Here is a 22428-nt window from a genome sequence, read left to right as displayed (position 1 = left end):
CCCAGGAGTTGTAGACTGCAGTGAGCTGTGATCACAACACTACACTCCAGCCTGGGCAACAGAATGAAACCCCACCTCTTAAAAAAAAAAAAAAGAAAGAGAGAGAATAAGAAAACAAATTGATATAATGTTGACAATTTATCTTACTTTTGCATTTTCCTCTTCGCACCCATCATTCTTCTACTTTTTTTTTTTTTTTTTGGAGACAGAGTCTTGCTCTGTCGCCCAGGCTGGAGTGCAGTGGCACTGACCTCAGCTCACTGCAACCCCTGCGTCTCGGGTTCAAGCGATTTTCCTGCCTCAGCCTCTCGAGTAGCTGGGATTACAGGTGTCCACCACCACACCTGGCTAATGTTTTTGTGTTTTTAGCAGAGACGGGGTTTCATCATGTTGGCCAGGCTGTTCTCGAACTCCTGACCTCAGGTGATCCACCCGCCTCGGCCTCCCAAAGTGTTGGGATTACAGGCATGAACCACTGTGCCAGGCCTATTTTCTTACTATTTTACTCTTACTTAACATAATTAGGAACAATTAGTAATGATGAATAATTACTAAGATGATGAAATGGCAAAATGTTTTAAGACACAGGAAAAATAACACCAAAACCCCATATATAGCTTAGATTTATGGAAGGATTCAGTGGGCTTTATTCTGTTGTTAAAATTTAATATAAATTTCTGTTTTTATGGATAAACCTCCACAGTTGCTTGAACCGTGTCCTGAAAAAAGACAAGTCCTAACCTGTGATTGCAACCTTTTTTAGAAACAGGGTCTTTGCAGATGTAATCAAGCTAAGATGATGTCATACTGGATTAGGGTGTGCCCTAAATCCAGTGACTGGTATTTTTATAAGAGAAAGGAGAGAGAGATTTGGATATAGAGATGTAGGAGACACACACACAGGGAAGAATGCTAAGACAGAGCATTCTGTGAAGCCAAAAGCAGAGATTTGAGTGATGCCTAGGATTGCTGAGAGCCACCAGAAACTAGGAAGAGGCAAGGAAGGATTCTTCCCTAGAATCTTCAGAGGAAGCACAACCTTGCTGGCACTTTGATTTCAGATTTGTAGCCTCACAGCTGAGAGAATACATTTCTGTTGTTTTAAGCCAACAGAATATAGCAATTTCTCATGGCAGCCTTAGGAAACTAATACAACCTTTAAGAGTATATGAGTCGTGAATTATTATTTTTTTATAAATATTTAAAATATTTTAAAAATATTAGCTGTTTTTATAAATATAACTGTTTGACCAAGAAACTCAAAAACTAGCTGGACGTGGTGGCTCACACCTGTAATCCCAGCACTTTGGGAGGCCAAGACAGGCGGATCACAAGGTCAGGAGATCGAGACCATCCTGGCTAACATGGTGAAACCCCGTCTCTACTAAAAAAATTAGCCAGGCGTGGTGGCATGCGCCTGTAGTCCCAGCTACTCGGGAAGCTGAGGCAGGAGAATCGCGTGAACCCAGGAGGCGGAGGTTGCAGTGAGCTGAGATCGTGCCACTGCACTCCAGCATGGGCGACAAGAGTGAAACTCCGTCTCAAAAAAAAAAAAAACTCAACAACTAAAATTGGGTATAATGAGTCCTGGCAGTGTATTAAAGGTTAAATTATTTATGATTTGTTCATATAATGGATTACTGTACAGCTATTAAGATTGATCATAAGTCTTTACATCATGCTGTTTTTTAAGAAGTGGTTATGAAACAGGTAGAGTATGATTCTGGTTTTTTAACTGTATACATATATTTATAGAAAAAGATTGGAAGAATATATAACAATATTCAACTTGTAAAAATGGCTATTTCTGCTAATTTTTATTTTCTTCCTCAAGTTTATTTTTTCAGATTTGAAAAATCAGTGTTCATTACTTTTATAATCAGGAAAAAACTTAGTTATTTTCAGTTTGGGGCAATCAACTTGGGCTTTGGGCTGATTTCATTCCTGTTTGGTTAATTGATTAGTTTGTGATTGGTACATGCAGTTCTAAATTGACTCCCTTCGATTATTTAATCAATTCAGATAATGAGCTCAAAAGCCATGAAAAATTCGTACTCAGGATGCTCTTACCCTGTTTTGTGGCTGTGGTGGGAATGTCATCATGTGAATCTGAGTTAAAGCTTTACAATTGGGTGTGAAACTGACTTCCCATCTGCTTATAAGACTTTCTCATTCTTCATTCCCTTGATACTGAATTTTGTTCATTTATAGTCATTTGATTTTTGAGATCTTTTTGATTATGATTCGTGTCTTGCATGTTTGCGTTTCTGATGCTGTTCTCTATAGCATTAGATTGCGTTTTCCATATGTGGTCATTCCTAAAGGCTCAACTGAAATAACGACTTTCTACTTGACTCTCTTCCTGCTTTTCTCATAGAAATTATTTTTATCTTTTTCTGCTCTCTTATAGTACTCATTCATTTCACGTCATAAAGAAAAATTCTGGCCGGGTGCAGTGGCTCATGCCTGTAATCCTAGCACTTTGGGAGGCCGAGGTGGGCAGATCACAAAGTTAGGAGATGGAGACTATCCTGGCTAACACCGTGAAATCCCATCTCTACTCAAAATACAAAAAATTGGCCGGGCGTGGTGGCGGGCGCCTGTAGTCCCAGCTACTCCAGAGGCTGAGGCAGGAGAATGGCGTGAACCCAGGAGGCGGAGCTTGCAGTGGGCTGAGATTGCGCCACTGCACTCTGGCCTGGGTGAAAGTGCGAGACTCCGTGTCAAAAAAAAAAAAGAAATTGTTTGTTTTTAACATTTAGCCATTTTGTAGTTCTTTTTCATATGTAATTCTCAAAGGTTTTAAATCCCTTGAAGACAAGTCTGTCTCAGCTCCATGTCCTCATAATCACTAGCAAGTAGTAGTTAAACTGAATTTGTAAAGCATAAATTCTCATTCTTTTATAATTTTCCTCTACTGGTTTATACAGTTCGTCTCCATATATCTGAGGGGGACTGGTTCCAGGATCCCTCTCCAGATACCAAAACTTGCAGATGCCCACGTATTTGCATATAACCTATGCACATCCTCCCATATATTTTAAATTAATCTCGATTTCTTATAATACCTAAAACCATTAAATGCTATGTGAATAGTTGTTATACTGTATTTTTAAAATTTGTATTATTTTTTATTGTTGCATTATTTTTTGTTTTTTCCAAATATTTTCAATCCAAAGTCGGTTGAATCTGTAAATGCAGAGGGCCGACTGTACTATAGTGTTGAGCCCACAATGGGAGTTAAGTCTATGTTAATAATTCCTTTTACTTCATGGAAATTATATAACCGTGAAACCTAGGATCTTTATTGTTATTGTTAACTGAATGTGTGTGAATGATGATAAATACACTTCTTTAAAGGGTGTATTAATTAAGTTCAAAGTTAACCCTGTGTGGATAGAAATATGAATTAACAGACTATCGGTATAAATGAGGAACTTCGTCATAAACTCCTTGCCAATTGCATTTTCTGTATAGTATTGACAGAAGGCAAGTGTTTATGGCAGATCGATCAGCAAGTGCAATGGCTTTTAAGTAGGAATATTTAGCTTCCCTGGGTTAAAATAGAATGTAGATATTTTAGTTAACCAGGGGTTGGGTATCACTAGGTGAATTTGATGGAAGTAAATAGACTTAGAAGGTTATAATGATGGACCAAGGAATCTGCTGGGTAAGAAGTGAGGAAATGGAGGTAGAGGGTTATAATGGAAAAAATGGTTGAACATAAAGAATTGGAGGTCTTAATGAAAAATTGTTGGAGTGGAAATACTAAAGTAAAAACCTGGATGAATACGAGGTGGTAGTCAAAGTATTGCTCTTGTGAAATTCCTATTTCTAACATGGATTCTTTGCTCAGCTCCCCACCTATGAACTGAATGCCAGTTGTGTTCTTTGGTTGAGGAACAAGCACCTTAAACTCAACATGTTCAAAATGAAATTCATCATCTTTTTCCCTAAATCTGTTTTTTCCTGAATTCCCTGTCTCAGGAAATGGTACTACCAACCTTCCTGTTTGTCAGATGAGATTTATGGAAATCATTCTAAATTCTTGTTCCATACCCTTTGAATCCTTTCACTCATTTGCTTCCATGTCCCTTTGCTTCAGCTCTCCTAAACTGCTTATAATATTCTAAGCACATCATCCCATTTCACACATCATCCCATTTGTATTCCTTTGCATATGCTGTTTTTTTGCCTGGAATTTGCTTTCGCCATGCCTTTGTCTGGCTAACTCCTGCCTATTAGGCTAAACTCAGCTTAAAAATGATGTCACCCAGAACCTTAACCACCACCATCACCTCCTCCTTGTTTAAATGTCCTTCTGTGTGCCCATGTTGCTTTGTGCCTATTTTGTAACATGGAATCGTTGGTTTATTTCTTTATAGCTTTGACTGTGAGCTTTTCAATTTAGGGATTGTCTTATTTAATTTTGTAACTATTAATACAAAATAAAGACAGTTATCTATTGGAAAGGGGTTTCTATCAATTCTATTTATCAGAAAATATTGAAATTATTATCTTATCTTCCCATTAGCCTATAAAGTCCTTAATCTGTATCTTGTTCCTCTTTGTTGTCTTAGCTTCTGTTACTATCATGTTGCCTGATCCAGGGCTCAAAAATCAGTCTCAGTTCAATTTATTGAGAAACTGTGTGTATCAAAAAGTAGACATGAACAAGACAGATATAATTTCAACCTTCGTGACCCTATAGAGTCTGATGAGCAAGATGAGCATTAAACGAGAAATTAGGAGTGTGATTACTGTCCTGAGGGCAAGAAGAGCATATGTCAAGAAAATTTTGCCTTGTCTACGTCAAATTGAATTTAGAAGTAACCTTATCAGTAGAGTGATTACACGGAAGTGCATTTTTAAATGTCATTCATGTTTAATGACCATTGGCTGTTATATTTGATGTAGATTCTATTCCTTTTGTATTCTTGGACAAACAGAAATCCAGTTAATGTAGCTCTTTCTCCCCATTATTGTAGAGCATTTTATGGTGTACAATTTTTTAGTTATCCTAATACATGTTGTTTGTGTTTGGCTCTGGGATGTCTCTGTACTTTTATGTCATGTTTGATATATTATACTTGAATAAATTCTATTTAGCCACATTATCCAAAGATAGAAAACTGTAGCTTTTCTGCCCTGTGTCTTTATCAACTTCCAAATACTTAGAATCTTTTATAAACCTTTACATGAAGAAGTTGTTCCTTTATAGCCCAACTTTTCATGGCCCAGAGAAATGGTTGAAGATACTGGATATGTTTAGTACAGGGAAGACAAAGAGGAGACATGATTCTGTAGTTGTTGAAGTCTATCTGGTGGGTTTCTGTAAGAGATATATACAGAAGAGTAAATGATTTTTTTAAAGAACAACTTTATTGAGATATAATTCACATACCATAAAATTCATCCATTAAAAGTACACAGTTCAGGCCAGGTGCAGTGGCTCAGGGCTGTAATCTCAGGGCTTTGGGAGGCCGAGGCAAGAGGACGGCTTGAGCCTAGAGTTTGAGACTAGACTGGACAATAGCAAGACTCCCTCTTAAATTGTTTTGTTTTTTTTTTTTTAATCAGCCAGGCATGGTGGTGCACCCCTGTAGTCCCAGCTACTTTAGAGGCTGAGGCAGGAGGATTGCTTGAGCCCAGGATTCAAGGCTGCAGTGAGCTATAAACACACCACTGCACTCCAGCCAGAGTAACAGAACCAGACCCTGTCTCTTAAAAGAAATAAAAGTAAACAATTCAGTCGTTTTTACTATGATCACAAAGTTGTATAACCGTCAACATTACCTAATTTTGTAACATTTTTATCACTCCAAAAAGAAACTCCAAACCCGTTAGCAGTCACTTCCCATTTTCTCCTACCCCCAACCCCTAGCAAACACTACTGAATCAGAACCCCTGGGAGTGGGACCTCCCAACCTGTGTCACAGGCCACCAGGTGATGCTGATGCTGAGAACCAATGCTTTAGAGAAAGATCCTTTGTTCCCTGAGTGGTGAGGACATCTGGCTTCTAGCTATGCTGATGGGTGGGTGGGGGAGCATTTACTGTTCATATGTAAACTCTTAATGCATCCCCATTTCTCCTACCCCCAGTCTCACCAAGGTTCTGTGTGTCAGTCACTAATTTTCTGCTGCAGCATACTTCATATTCCAGATAACAGCTTCCATGCTTTGCCATATTGGTCATCACTCAGCCATCTGTTTTCTGTCCTTCAGTAATTTGTCGCGACCTCTTGTCCACTGAAGGCCCCCTTCATGATTCTTCCTTTTAGTTTTTTTATTATTATTTTAAAGTTGTCTCAGGAAGAAGTGAATAGAAATATCTGCTTAATTCACCATTTTAACTTCATTTTTACTAGCTTGAATGGTATTAATTTGCTTTTCTTTAATTGCTAGTTAGGTTATACATTATTTGCATAATGATTTAGTGTCTCTGTCTAATGTGCTAACTCTGCAGTGTCTGCTTGCCGCCTTTGGAAATCTAAATACTGGATTCTCTACCCGTTTCTAGTATTGAATTCCTTTGTGAAGGGAATACTAACCTGCCTTTTCTCCATTTCAAGTGTATGGGACTCCACTCTTCTGTTACCTAATTCACTGAGGTCTGTCTGGCTAAGCAGAAAAAGTATATGAAGGATTGAGTGCCTTTGTAATAAGCAAGTTTCATGTGAGTTGTTTTAAAAAATTCCCAGTGAGCCTTTTGAGCAATTATATAAATAGAACACATTGTGCCTGAAATGCTGTGCCTGTTGATATTCTCTAAAAGCAAGTGCAGGTTACTGTAGTGAGATGTGTTAGGCAATTTTTGCACTGCTATAAAGAAATACCTGACCAGGCACATTGGGTCATGCCTGATATCCCACACTTTGGGAGGCTGAGGTGGTCAGATCACTTTCAGCCCAGAAGTTTGAGACCAACCTGGGCAACATGGCAAAACCCCATCTCTGCAAAAAATACAAAACTTAGCCAGACAGGTGGCATACGCCTGTAGTCCCAGCTACTCGGGAGGCTGAGGGTCGAGGATTTATTGAGTCCAGGAGGTCGAGGCTGCAGTGAACAGAGATCGTGCCACTGAACTCCAGCCTGGGTGACAGAGTGAGACCCTGTCTCAAAAAAGAGAGAAATACCTGAGACTGGGTAATTGGTAGGAAAATAGGTTGAATTGGCTAACGGTTTTGTAGGCTGTACAGGAAGCATAGTAGTGTCTGCTTCTCGTGAGGCTTCAGGAAGCTTCTAATCATGGAAGAAGGCAAAGGAGTATGCGTCTCACATGGTGAGAATGGGAGCAAGTGTGTGTGTAGGGGGGTGTGTCACATACTTTTAAATGATCACATCACATGAGAACCCACCGTCAAAAACACAGCATCAAACCATGAGGGATCCACCCCTATGATCCAGAAACCACCCACAAGGCCCCACCTCCAGCATTGGGTATTACAACTCAACATGAGATTGGGGCAGAGACAGGTAGCCCAACTATATCATGAGGCATCAGATTAATCCTTAGTAGACCAATATGTACAGTAATTGGAGTTATAACTGCCTCCCAGGTTCAAGCAATTCTCCTGCCTCAGCCTCCCAAGTAGCTGGGATTACAGGCGCCCACCACTACGCCCGGCTAATTTTTGTATATTTAGTAGAGACGTGGTTTTACCATGTTGACCAGGCAGGTCTCAAACTCCTAACCTCAGGTGATCCGCCCGCCTCGGCTTCCCTAAGTGCTGGGATTACAGGCATGAGCCACCGCACCCGGCCCACGTGTTCTTACTTATTTGTGGGATCTGAAAATCAAAACAATTGAACTCATGGAGATAGAGAATAAGATGGTTACCAGAGGCTGGCAAGGGTAGTGGGCAGGTGTGCAAGTGAAGTGGGGGTGGTTAATAGGTACAAAAAAAAAAAAAGAAAGAGTGAATAAGACCTTAGTATTTTATACTTAATATTTGATTGCACAATAAGGGGACTCTAGTCAATAACTTAATTGTACATTTTATTTTATTTTTGAGACAGTCTCACTCCGTCACCCAGGCTAGAGTGCAGTGGTGCAGTCTCGGCTCACTGCAACTTCTGCCTCCCAGGTTCCAGCGATTCTCCTGCCTTAGACTCCCGAGTAGCTGGGATTACAGGCACCCGCCACCATGCCTGGCTAATTTTTATATTTTTGGCAGAGGCAGTGTTTCACCATGTTGGCCAGGGTGGCCTCAAACTCCTGACCTCAGGTGATCCACCTGCCTCAGCCTCCCAAACTACTGAGATTTCAGATGTGAGCCACTGTGCTCGGCCTAATTGTACATTTTAATATAACTAAAAATGTAATTGGATTGTTTGTAACACAAAGAATAAATGCTTGAGGAAATGGATACCCAATATTCCGTGATGTGATTTTTACTGATTGAGTGCCTGTACACAATATCTTATGTATCCCATATTTGTGAATAAATATGTATTCACAAAAATTAAAAATATTTAAAAAATTTTAAAATTTTTTAAAAGAATATGAGATAGTCTCATATAGAGGGTGACCAGTGCTGTTAGAGAATGAAGTAGCTACTAAGATAATGTTATGCTTGCCAAAAAGTACTGATCTTGTTCAAATGAATGATTGTGTTAGTTGAGGTAAATGCAGTACAGAGATAAATTGGAATTCTGGCTACTTTATATACTAGTTTTATAAGCTTAATGACCGAGCCTCCACTTCCTAATCTATAAAAATACATTATAGTGGCCACATTACAGAGCTGCTGTAAGCATTGGATACCATGTAAAGCCCAGTGTTTACTCCTGTGCAGGCACTGAAATATTAGGTGCTATGTTGATGGTAATGAGAGCCTCTGGGTCCTGGAGAACCTTGGGTGAATTATAAAGGACTAGTTGCAGAGAAAAGCCAAGGTAGTGTGGCCAGGAAGAAATAGCTGGCAGGTAATAATCAAATTATTTTATATTACTGACAGAACTGGAGTTCATACAAAGCAGAGGATTGGAACAAGCTGCTGGGTTTCAGGACTCTCACAAGACAGATCAGAAGTTTAAACTAAATCAGCACCTGGAATGGAGGAAAGAATTAAGACAGAGAAATCAATTAACTGTCAGAGTTTGAAGACTAAGTCAGAACTGAACTAAGAAGTGAGAGCAAGTTAGGGTATAATCTGCCCTAAGAGCTGTAGTCATTTATGTTGGCAATGAGGTGTCACTATGTTCCAGATTCTTTTGTTCTTGGAAGGACGTTGTTGTTGTGCCCCTTCTGGGGTTCCTGGAGCCTGATACTTCTGCTTTTATACAATAGTTGGAACAAGATTATAGTTTAAATAATTAAGTAGCAGAATAAACCAGTTTATTGGTAAGTTATTCCTGTTATCATTGTTTGTTTCTTTTTCTTTTTTTAAATACCTTCAACCAGCCCATACCAGTTAATGTTGTTTCTTAATCAACTTTATTGAGGTATACTTTATAATAAAAATGAACCCATTTAAAATACATCGTTTTAAATATATTTTAAATACATGTTTTGACAAATTCTTTTTTTTTTTTTCTTTGGAGACGGAGTCTCGCTCTGTCACCCAGGCTGGAGTGCAGTGGGGCGATCTCAGCTCACTGCAAGCTCCGCCTCCGGGATTCACGCCATTCTCCTCCCTCAGCCTCTCGAGTAGCTGGGACTACAGGCGCCTGCCACCACGCCCGGCTAATTTTTTGTATTTTTAGTAGAGATGGGATTTCACTGTGTTAGCCAGGATGGTCTCAATCTCCTAACTTTGTGATCCGCCTGTCTTGGCCTCCCAAAGTGCTGGGATTACAGGCATAAGCCACTGCGCCTGGCCTGTTTTGACAAATTCTTACACCTCAGTAACTACTTCCATGATCAAGATATAGAATTAGGCTGGGTGACATGGCTTATACCTGTAATCCCAGCACTTGGGGAGGACAAGGCGAGGGGATTTCTTGAGTCTAGGAGTTCAGGACTAGCCTGGGCAACATAGTGAGACTCCATCTCTACAAAATATTTTAAAAATTAGCTGAGCGTGGTGGCACATGCCTGTAGTTTCAGCTACCCAGAAAGCTGAGGAAGGAGGATCACTTGAGCCTAGGAGGTCAAGGCTGCAGTGAACCATGATTGTATCACTTCACTGAAGCCTGAGCAATAGAATAAGACCCTGTCTGAAAAAAACAAAAAACAACCACAGTAACAACAAAAAGAATTATTTCTGTCACTCAAAAAATTCCTTGTTTTCCTTTGGCTCGAGTCTCTTTCCCCACCCCTGCTCTTAGGCAACCACCGATCTATTGTCCCCATAGGTTAGATTTTCGTTTTTTTAGAATCTTATATAAATGAAATCGTATGGTATTTATTCTTTGTAGCTGTCTTCTTTCACTCAGCATAATGCTTTTGAGATTTATCCAGTAGTTTGTTCCTTTCTTTGCTGAATATTATCCCACTGAATGGATATACCATCAAATTTGTTAATTCGTTCTCTTTTTTTGCATTTGTTGTACCATTTTAAGTATGTAGTTCAGTGACATTAAGTACATTCACAATTTTTATAACCACTAGCACACATTTTTAATGAATATATATTCAGTTTTAGTTTGAATAAATAACACATGCACATATGAAAATTTTGATCATTTGAAGAGTGTTCTGTATATGTTTGTTAGATCTGGTTTTATTGTATTAAGTCCTCTCTCTCTCTTTTTAGTTATCTTCTGTCTGGTTCTTTACATTATTGAGAGGTTTCCAATAGTATTGTAAAACTGTTTTTTCCCTTCAATTCTGTCATTTTTTGCTTTATATTTGATGGTCCATCATTAGGTATGTAAGTATTTATAACTGTTGTGTCTGATTGTATTGAACCTATTAATGCATAATGTCTTTCATTGTTTCTTGTAACCCTTTTGTATTTAGTCTGTTTTGTTTGATAATAGTATAGCCACCCGTGCTCTCTTTTGTCTCCTATTTGCATGGAAAATTTTTTTTCCATCCTTTCACTTTCAGTTTATTTGTTCTTTGTATCTAAAGTGAATCTTTTATAGACAGCATATAATTGGGTCATTTTAAAAAATCCATTCTGCCAATCTCTGTCTTTTGACTGGAGAGTTTAATCCATTTACATTTAAAGTAATTACTGGTAAGGAGGAACTTCTCTCATTTTGCTATTTGTTTTCTATATACTTTATAGCTTTTTTGTCCCTTGTTTTCTGCATTACTGTGTTTTTCTTTAGTTGGTTCTTTGTAGGGAAACATTTAAATTTCTTTCTTATTTTCTTTTGCATATATTCTATAGCTATTTTCTTTGTCGTTACCATGGAGAGTACATTGAAGATCCTAAAATTATAACAATCTAACTTGAATTTATACCAGCTCAACTTCAGTAACATACAAAAACTCTCACTTTCTTTTCTTTTCTTTTCTTTTCTTTTTTTTTTTTTTTTGAGACAGAGTCTCACTCCATCACCCAGGCTGGAGTGCAGTGGCACGATCCCAGCTTACTGCATCCTCCACCTCCTGAGTTCAAGGGATTCTTGACTGCACTTTTAACAGCCCCTTCTTCACCCCTTTCAGTTGTTGATATCACAAAATTACATCTTTATACAGGTGTGCCCCAAAACATACATGAATAAATCTTTGAAATGCATTAACCTCTTAAATTAAAGCTGTAGAAAACAGAATGTGGATTTACAACCAAAATTTGCAATAATACTAGTTTTAGGTTTTTTTTTAAAGTGTATTAGTTTCTTAAGTCAGTTAGAAAACAAACAGAGCAGTTATATACACCTGAGGCATCAGGTTTATATAATTTGATTATGAGGCATCAAATTAATCTTTACAATTATAATCATGTGTTTACTTTGATTAAGATCTTTATTTCTTTATATAGCTTCAAGCTAATGCCTAGTGTACTTTCATTTCACCCGGCAGGACCACCTTGAGCATTTCTTGCAGGGCATGTCCAGTAACAAACTCTTTTAGGTTTTGTTTAAGTAGGAATGTCTTACTTTCTCCCTTACTTTTGAAGGACAGTTTTGCCAAATATAAGATTTTTTATTGACATTTCTTTTAGCACTTTGAATGTATCTGCCCACTGTCTTCTAGCTTCCAAAGTTTCTGATGAGGAATCTGTTGATAATCTTTTTTTTTTTTTTTTTCCTTTTTAAAGACAGAGTCTCACTCTGTTGCCCAGGCTGGAGTGCTGTTGGCTCACTGCAACCTCCACCTCCTGGGTTAAAGTGATTCTCCTGCTTCAGTCTCTTGAGTAGCTGGGACTACATGCGTGCACCACTATACCCAGCTGATTTTTGTATTTTTAATAGAAACAGGATGTCGTCCTGTTGGCCAGGCTGGTCTCAAACTCCGTGCCTCAAGTGATCCTCCCACCTCAGCCTCCCAAAGTGCTGGGATTGCACTGTGCCTGGCCTGTTGATAATCTTATTGAAGATTCCTTACATGAGATGAGTTGCTTCTCTCTTCCTACTTTCATGATTCTTTGTGTTTGGCTTGCAAAAGTTTGATTATAATGTTTCTTGGCATGAACCTCTTTGAGGTTATCTTACCATCTTGGAGTTCATTGAACTTCTTGGGTGTTTATACATTCATATCTTTCATCAGATTTGGAAAGTTTTCAGCCATTATTTCTTCAATGGTTTTTTTTTTGTTTTTTGTTTTTTTTTTTTGAGATGGAGTCACCCTCTGTCACTTGGCTGGAGTGCAGTGTCATGATCTCAGCTCACTGCAACCTCTGCCTCTTGGGTTCAAGTGATTCTCCTGCCTTAGCCTCTTGAGTAGCTGGGATTGCAGGCATGTGTCACCATGCCCAGCTAATTTTTGTATCTTTGGTAGAGACGGGGTTTCACCATGTTGGCCAGGCTGTTCTCGAACCCCTCACCTCAGGTGGTCTGCCCGCCTCGGCTTCCCAAAGTACTGAGATTACATATTTCTTCAGATACTCTCTTTGCCTTTTTCTCTCTTCTCCTTTCGAGACTCCCACATGCATATGTTGGGTCGTGTTGTGGTATCCCACAGGTCACTTAATCTCTATTCATTTTTTTTCAGTCTTTTCTTTCTGTTCCCAGACTCCATAATTTCCATTGTCTTATCTTCAGGTTTGCTGATTCTTTCTTTTGCCTGCTGAAATCTGCCTTTGAGGTTTTCTAGTGAAATTTTCATTTCAATTATACTTTTCAGCTGCAGAATTTCCTTTTGTTTTCCTAGGTGTTCTTTTTTTATTAAGATTGCCATTTTGTTCATACATCATTTTCTTGACTTTTTCCACATCTTCTAGTTCTTTAAGTGTCTTTAAGACAGTTGTTTAAAAATCTTTTTTGAGTAGATCTGGCTTGAGATCTTTCTCAGGGACAATTTCTGTGGATTTATTTTTCCCCTCTGGGTCATATTTTTATCTTTCTTTATATGCCTTGTGATTTTTTTAAAAATGAAAACTGGGCTGGGTGCCAGTGGCTAACGCCTGTAATCCCAGCACTTTGGGAGGCCGAGGTGGGTGGATCCTGAGGTCAGGAGATCGAGACCATCCTGGTTAACATGGTGAAACCCTGTCTCTATTAAAAATACAAAAAATTAGCCAGGCATGGTGTCAGGCGCCTGTAGTCCCAGCTACTCGGGAGGCTGAGGCAGGAGAATGGCGTGAACCCGGGAGGCGGAGTTTGCAGTGAGCAGAGATTGCGCCCCTGCACTCCAGCCTGGGCAACAGAGCAAGACTGTGTCTCAAAAAAAAAAAAAAAGAATAAAAGAAATGAAAACTGGGCATCTGTATCTAATCATGTGAGAACTGTGGAAATCAAATTCTCTCTCTTCCCCAGGGCTTGCTGTTTTTATTTATTCTTTTGGACTTCTTTTTTAAATTGTTGAAGGCTGTCTCTATGCCAGGCTTCAGCCCAAAGTATAAACTTAATGTCTTCTCAGGTCTTTCTGAGCCTGCCTGATTCTTTCCCTAGGCAGGTGCCATCACTTTCTCATTTTCCCCATATATGCAGTTGTTTTTGACCATCCTAGTCTTTAATGTCTGACTCCCAAAGGAAAATAAAAGAAAAATGAAGTGGAGAAGTCCGCTGGCTCTTTAAATAATACCGGGGCAGGGTGGGGGGTGGGGAGGGGCGTGTAACAATCAGAGGAGGTGACTGCCTCTCTGTATCTCTGTGATTAGAAACCACAATCAGCAATCTAGGCCTAGATTCCCAGTATTTGGAGGATCCTTTTTTCTCCAACTCAGCTCCCTCAAGCTGTGTGCACGGGGTTCCAGGAAGACGTGCACAGCTGCCTCCCTCAGGGCTGGGAGAGGGGTATGGGCAACTGCTACTGTGCTAAGAGCTGAAATTGACCAAAACTAACTACAATTTACTGTATAAGCCTTTCTCTGGAAGTTGCGGGTATTCCATAGACTGCAAGTTTCAAAAACAGTTACATCAGGCCAAGTGCAGTGGCGGATGCCTGTAATCCCAACACTGTCGGAGGCTGAGGCAGGTGGATCGCCTGAGGCTGTCAGGAGTTCGAGACCAGCCTTGCCAACATGGTGAAACCTTGTCTGTACTAAATATACAAAAATTAGCTGGGCATGGTGGCACATTGCCTGTAGTCCCAGCTACTCAGGAGGCTGAGACAGGAGAATTGCTTGAGCCCAGGAGGTGAATGTAGCAGTGAGCTGAGATTGCACCACTGCACTCCAGCCTGGGCAACAGAGCGAGACTCCATCTCAAAACAAAACAGTTAAATCAGACAAATACTACTAGTGCACTTGTCTAGGTGGGTAGACAGATTCCTGGTGGTTTCTTCTCTGCCATCTTCCCAAAATACTGTCAATCCATCTGTCGTTTGATACTTAGTTGTTTCCTGCGTGTGGAGCTATTGTGATGATGAAGCTCTCTGAAAATTCATGCAGGAGTCTGTGTGTGGACATATGTTTTTATTTCCCTTGGGTAAATAACTAGGAATTAAGTTAATGCTTAACTTTGTAAGAATCTACCAAGTAATTTGCTGAAGTAATTGTATTATTTACATGCCCGCTAGCAGTGGATGAGGATGCCGGTTGGTCCACGTCTTTGACAAAAGATGATGTCGTATTTTTAATTATAGTCATTCTAGTGAGTATAGGATATGTCATTGTGGTTTTAAATTGTATTTCTGTAGTGACCAGTACTGTTGAACATTTTTTTCATGTGCTTACTGGCTGTTCATATATCTTGTTTTTGAACTATCTTTTCAATTTTTTTCATCCAATTTTTACTAGGTTGTTTGTTTTATTATTGGGTTGTAAGAGTTCTTTATATATTCTGGATACAAGCCCTTTATCAGATATAGGTGGTGTACTTTTTTTCCCCAGTCTGCCTTTTCTTTCCATTTTAAAATAGTTTTTTTGAAGACCAGAAGCTTCTTATTCTGTTAGTGTATTATAGTCTTTTTCTTATGTGGTTCATGAATTTCTTTATCCTGTCCAAAAGATTGCCAACATTTTTCTTCCATGTTTTTTCCTAGGGATTTTATATCTTAGCTTGTATTTTTAGGTCAGGGAAGACCCTGCTAGTCTATAAACTTTTTGAAGGTACAGGCCATACCTGATTTACCTCTGTATTTTCCACAGTGATTAGTAGTCTAATAAATATTTGTTGAATGAATAAATCAATATGACTTCAGGTAGATAATGATGATAAGATACAGACAGATAGCTAGGCCCTAAGCTTCTGTATCCATTCCTTCTTTGCTGCTATAACCTGTGAGCTTGAATTACTTCCATGCTTTTGATTTAGTTCACCAGTATATTCTAGTTGGGGGGAAAAATCAGTTAAAAAAAAAAAACTCCATCAGAAAATGCATTTAAAAACTTGAAATACTATGCTATTGGATCTGTTAGGATATCTTAAAGTACCCTTATTATGTGAAACTGAAATTTCTTTTTCTCTTTTAACATAAGATATATACATACGTATGTGTGTGTGTGTGTGTGTGTGTGTGTGTGTGTGTGTGTGTGTGTGTGTGTGTGTATTTTGTTTTCTTTAAGAGACAAGGTTTCATTATGTTGCCCAGGCTGGTCTCAAACTCCTAGGGTGAAGTGATCCTCCCTCCTCAGTCTCCCAAACTGTTGGAACTACAGACATGAGCTACCACTCCTGGCTTCATTTTACATTTTCATGCAGTGGGTGTGAATTTCTCTTGCTATGAATTCAGAAAATTTAGTGGTTTTTTTTTTTTTAAGTCAAAATTGTAAAAATTTACCTGTGAACTGTGTGCATGAATTATAGAAACCACGGAAACATTTCCGTGTATTTTACTTCACTGAAACCCACTAACAACCTTAAGTGCAGTTCTGGGGGCAGAGCTGGGGCATCTAAACAAGGACACTTTAAAGAGTGAAAGGGAGGGCTGATAACAGTTATTCTGGAGCAGTCAGCATAAAATGGTTTTTTCCTGGGCAAACCAAGACCTGTGATCACCCTAAAGTTGATAGATACGAACAGATTAAATTTCTCTCTTCACCGGTGTTATATTTGCTTGTTTTTAGGGAACCACTTAATAGAAATGCCTCATAGGCTGTAGAAGATGTGCTGTAACAAAGACTGTAGGAAAAAATAATATGTGTATGTGTGTTTGTATGTGTTTTACAGAAAATAAAAGGAAATTTTATCTTTGCTCCTTTAGAAAAAATTGCCAATAAATTCAGTCATGGTTTTCCTTCCCTCTCACAAGTAAAAGCTGATAACAAATAAGCTTAGTCACATGTATTCGTTGCTAGCCACATTAGTTTTATTTATTTTGATGTCAATTCCTATTTTATTTCCCACATATACCCTACACAGAAAAAAAAAAAAAAAAAAAAAACTGGTGTTTTGCCACATGAAACAGGTGTAAGGGACGGATAAACAGACATGTGTCACATAGATCTTTACAGTTGGAGAATATGCAAAACCCAAGCCAGCCTTATTTCACATTTAAGAGGTGGATTTAGCATGTGAATTAGGATAAAGATCAGGAGGTAGAGACTTGTTTTTTGTTTCTGGAACATTCTTTAGGGACTTTTATTTAGTTTCTTCAACTGGGTAATTATTCTGGGCTTTCCTCCTGATTCTCCTTTAGGACAATATGGTGTGAAGTTCAGTGGAAAAATTTGAATTTTAGGCAGATAGTATTTTAGGGACTACTGTAGAAAGAGTTATCTCAGAAGTTTTCTTAGCCAAAATATATGTATGATTTGATGATACTGGTATTTCCTATATAGCTGTGGAGGGTTGGCTGTAACTTGGGAATTTGGAGATAACGGTTCAAATAGTTCAACCCAGAGTTTCTCTGCCTTTTGTATAGGTCATCCCATGATCCTATCATTAAGAGTGTTCATTTTTAGTATTCATGCAGCCTACAAGGCCTGGCATGGCAGAGCATGCCATTCTTCCTCTTCTTCCTTCTCCTCCTCCTCCTCCTTCTTACTCCTCCAATTCAGGGAAAATGAAGAGGGATTTTTCATATATTCTTTCTATAGGCTAACTCCTTCTGTAAAAGCAGTTTGCCTATTTCTACTTTTTGATGGTTCCTTTGTGCTTTTATGTTCATAAACCAAGCTCTGTTTGATTTGGAGTCTGTCAAGAGTATTAGAAAATTTTTATTTCATTCATAGTATATAGGCCTCTGCAAGTGTACCCTTTTTATGAAATACTACCTTTCGTATCAATTATCTGTGCCTTTTACTTTCAATCATAAGTGGTAATTAGAAGAGCTAGATCAGGCTGGGCATGGTGGCTTATGCCTGTAATCCCAGCCCTTTGGGAGGCTGAGGCGGGTGGATCACCTGAGGTCAGGAGTTCAATACCAGCCTGGCCAACATGGAGAAGCCCCGCCTCTACTAAAAATACAAAAATTAGCTGGGCGTGGTGGCACGCGCCTGTAGTCCCTGCTATTCGGGAGGCTGAGACAGGAGAATCGCTTGAACCTGGGAGGCGGGGGTTGCAGTGAGCCAAGATTGCATCACTGCACTCCAGTCTGGGTGAAGGAGCTCAGTGTACCATTCAGCATCTGTGCTGAACTTTTTACTTTTTAAGAGTGCACACTTGCAGCAGTACAGTAAGTGGGCCCTGGATTTGGACTGCTTATGTTAAAGCAGCTTTGATTGTGGTGCTCTGGACTATTTACTCACTTGTCTAAGCCTCAGTTTCTGAAGTTATAAAATGGAATGAAATCACCTCTCTTATAGGGTAGCAAGGATGAAATGAAATGTGTGTAAAGTGCTTGATAGACAATCTCGTCATTCAACCTTTTTTTTTTTTTTTTTTTGAGACAGTCTCACTCTGTTACCCAGGCTGGAGTGCAGCGGTGTGATCTTGGCTCACTGCAACCTCCGCCTCCTGGGTTCAAGCAATTCTTGTGCCTCAGCCTCCCAAGTAGCTGGGATTACAGTGGCATGCCACCACGCCTGGCTAATTTTTGTATTTTTAGTAGAGACAGGGTTTCACCATGTTGGCCAGGCTGGTCTCAGACTCCTGACAGCCTCAGCTGATTCACGTGCCTTGGCCTCCCAAAGTGCTGGGATTACAGGCGTGAGGCGCCGCGCCTGGCCTCAGTCAACTTTTAAAAAATGTGTTGTGGCAAAATACACATAAGATAAAATTTACCATTAGTGACATTGTACAACCAACATCACTGTCTAGTTCCAGAACATTTCCGTCACCCCAAAAGGAAGGCCCATACCCGTAAAGCAGTTGTTCTCTGTTATGTACTGAATTGCCTCTCCCCTAGGATTCATATGTTGTATTGTCCTAACCCCTATGTGATTGTATTTGAAGATAGTACTGTTAAAAAGTAAAGTTATATGAGGACATAAGGGTAGAACCATAATCCAGTATGACTGGTGTCCATATAAGAAGAGATACCAGGGGTGCTTGTGCACAAAGGAAAATCCACATGAGGACATAGCAAGAAGGCAGCCTTCAGCAAACCAGAAAGAGAGGCTTCACCAGAAACCAACCCTGCTGTCACTTTGGTCTTGGATTTCCGGCCTCTAGAACTGCAGGAAAATTAATTTCTGTTGTTTAAGGCACCCAGTCTGTGATATTTTGTTATAACAACTCATGTAAAATAGTGTACTCTCCATTTCCTCCCCACCCAATCCCTGGCAACCACTTTCTGCTTTCTGTTTTTATAGATTTGCCTTTTCTGGATATTTCATATACAGGAAATCATATAGTATGTGGCCTTTGGTGTCTAGCTTCTTTCACTTAGCCTAGTGTTTCCATCCATGTTATAGCATATATCAGTATTTCTTTTTTATGGCTGAAAATTATTCCATTGTATGAATATACCACATTTAGTTTATTCATTCATTGATGAATATTTGGGTTATTTCTGTTTTTTGGCTATATAATGCCACTATGAACATTTATGTACAAAGTTTTGTTTGAATACCTGTCTTTATTATTTCTTTGAGGTATACATTCAGGAGGAAATAGTTGGGTCATTCTATGTTTAATTTATTGAGCAGCCACCAAATTGTTTTCCATAACAGTTATACAATTTCACGTTTACACCAACAGTATACAAGGAGTATCTCTATATCCTTGCCAACATTGTTATTTTTTATTTTCAAAATTTAGCCATCAAAAAACCTTTTAAAAAGTATATTAATTAGAGGTCTAAACCTTTTTTAGGGCAGTATTTCTTTATCAGGATTCACATCATAATTACTAGTAGAGCTTTTAAATATATCCGTGACCAGGACCCTTCTTAGACTTTCTGAAGAGAGGTCTTCAGAGGTAGAGCCCTGAACTAATACTCTTCATTAAGAACCATTGCCAAAGATAGTGGTTCTCAGCATATGGTCTGGATATCTCTGGGGCTTCACATCCTCTCAGGGGAATCCTTGAAGTTGAAACTATTTTCTAATACTAAGACAGTAACTGCCTTTTTCATTCTCATTGTCTCAAGATTTTATATACAGTATTTTCCAGTCTTCATGGCATGTGATAGTGCAACAGATTGAATGCAAATGTAGGTATGAGAATCTAGCCACCTTTTGTTAAGCCAGACATTAAAGAAACTTATAAAAGTGTAAAGCAGTGTCACTCCTCTTACTAATTTTTTTGTTTTGGGAAAAAATTATGTTTCATAAAAAATATGTTATTTGTAACACATAATGGACTTGTCATTGTTTTTGTTTTGTGTGTGTGTATGTGTGTTTGAGACAGGGTCTCACTCTGTCACCTAGGCTGGAGCACAGTCACATTATCACAGCTCACTGCAGCCTCAACCTCCCAGGCTCAATCAATCCTCCTGCTTCAGCCTCCCAGCTAGCTGGGACTAAAGGCGCATGCCACCACGCTTGGCTAATTTTTGTATTTTTTGTAGAGACGGGGTTTCACCATGTTGCCCAGGCTAGTCTCAAATCCTGCCCTCAAAAGATCCACCCGCCTCGGCCTTCCAAAGTGTTTGGATTACAGGCATGAGCCACCGTGTGCGGCCTTGTCATTATTTTTAAGTAACACAAACATAATTTTAATTTATCAATTTTAGTAGTAAACGTTGGTAGATACAACCTAGATAAACCAAATTTCTTTGAGATCTACAATAATTTGAAGTGTAAAGGGATCTTTACAACATGGTGAAACCCCCATCTATAAAAAAATTTTTAATTAGCTGGGCTTGGTGGCACATGCTTGTGGTCCTCGCTACTCAAGAGGCTGGGGCAGGAGGATTGCTTGAGCCCAGGAGGTTGAGGCTACAGTGAGCTGTGTTTGTGCCACTGCACCCCAGCCTGGGTGATAGAGCAAGACCCTGCCTCAAAAAAAAATAAATAAATAAAATCAAGCAAATGCAAACTGTAGCCCGATGGAAAGGAAGGAGACAAAAAGTAACTTTGATCCATTTGTTCTCTTACCATATAGTTGGTGTTAGGTTAACCTTTTGATGTATTTATTTCATTTCATCTTTATAATAACCTCCATGACATTTATATACTCACCCTCATCTTTGCATGGGGAAATTTAGTCTTACAGAAATTAAGAACTTAGTTTGTTCATAAGTGGAGGAGCCATGATTTCAGCTTGGGTCTTTAGACTACATGTTCTTAATCAGTACCATAACCTTAAAAAAGTGAGTCATCTGGACAGGACTTGAGTCCAGGAAATTGTTGATAGTTCAATGCTATAATGACTCCTCTACCTCTGTAGTATCAGGCCTGAGAAAAGGGAACCTTTGAAATATTTGTAGACTTAAATAACACTTAAACACTATGTAGTACATGTAACTAAAGTAAAGTACTTACATGTTGTTCTCTTTAGTGGTCCTCAGAGCAAGGACCACTAAATATGAGAGGTGTAAGAGGGATAATTTCGACACGAGTAAGTGCCGTTGACAAAATTATATAGGTAATTTTAGTGTCTTATTGAGACATAAGGATAAATATTCAGTTAGAAAGAACAGTCAAATTTGTGACCTTTTCAAATAATGTTATTTTCTAAGCCCCCATATCCAGTCAGTCCTGAAGAGTCCATTGTTGCAGGAATGAAGTGGCATTTCACTCAGGAGCCAAAGAATCATATACTGCTGTGTTTACATAGAATAGACTAGGATAATTATTTTCTTGTAGTAATGTTATAGTTAATTTAAAATTTGTTCTAATTAGAGCAGTTCACCCGCTCTAGTCCTTTTCAAAGATTTTCTTGTTGACAGAGCAAAAATATGTGACAGTTTTTAAAAACTGATGCTGTTACTCTCTAGTGCCTTCTGTGAACTATTATTTCGCAGAACAGAATTATTTTTTGTTTAGTAATTGATATTCTATTTACCTTCCTTTTCTACCCTTAATCCCATCCCACTGCTGTTTCAAATATTCATTTGGGAAGCTGGGTGCCATAGTGGGCATGTGTAATTCCTCCTTCTTGGAAGCCTGAGGCAGGAGGGTCACTTGACCCCAGGAGTCCAGTCTGGGCCACATAGGAGACCCCATCTCTTAAAAAAAGTGCAATTTGGGGATCAGCATATTTTATAGAAGAAGAATTACTTATTTGACAAATATTGACTAGTATGTGTTAGGCACTAGATTAAGACTGAGGATGGGCCGGGCGCGGTGGCTCACGCCTGTAATCCCAGCACTTTGGGAGGCCGAGGCAGGCGGATCACGAGGTCAGGAGATCAAGACCATCCTGGCTAACACCGTGAAACCCCGTCTCTACTGAAAATACAAAAAATTAGCCGGGCGTGGTGGCGGGCGCCTGTAGTCCCAGCTACTCGGGAGGCTGAGGCAGGAGAATGGCATGAACCTGGGTAGTGGAGCTTGCAGTGAGCCGAGATCGTGCCACTGCAGTGAGCCGAGATCGTGTCATCCAGTCTGGGTGACAGAGCGAGACTCCATCTCAAAAAAAAAAAAAAAAAAAAAAAAAAGACTGAGGATGAGGATGCCATAATGAACCAAATAAAATATATATATATGTATATAGTC

General features: G+C 39.2%; 1 protein-coding gene across 26 annotated transcripts in view, besides 1 other annotated feature; it reads left to right on the top strand.

Annotated features, from left to right (window-relative positions):
* Nucleotides 1-22428, top strand: part of NARS2 (asparaginyl-tRNA synthetase 2, mitochondrial) — a 138897-nt gene that overhangs the window by 53604 nt on the left and 62865 nt on the right. The window lies entirely within an intron of this gene.
* Nucleotides 12656-12853: a silencer, noted in NCBI's record as "fragment chr11:78219454-78219651 (GRCh37/hg19 assembly coordinates)". NCBI's record gives its function as "represses an EF-1alpha promoter that drives an FKBP-Casp9 reporter gene in an ReSE screen in HepG2 liver carcinoma cells {active_cell/tissue: HepG2}" and the evidence as "EXISTENCE:reporter gene assay evidence [ECO:0000049][PMID:32094911]".

This window comes from Homo sapiens, chromosome 11, assembly GCF_000001405.40.
Source record: "Homo sapiens chromosome 11, GRCh38.p14 Primary Assembly".
NCBI classification, from domain to species: domain Eukaryota; kingdom Metazoa; phylum Chordata; class Mammalia; order Primates; family Hominidae; genus Homo; species Homo sapiens.
Note: the sequence above shows the minus strand (reverse complement) of the source record. Positions and strands in the feature narration are given on the sequence as shown.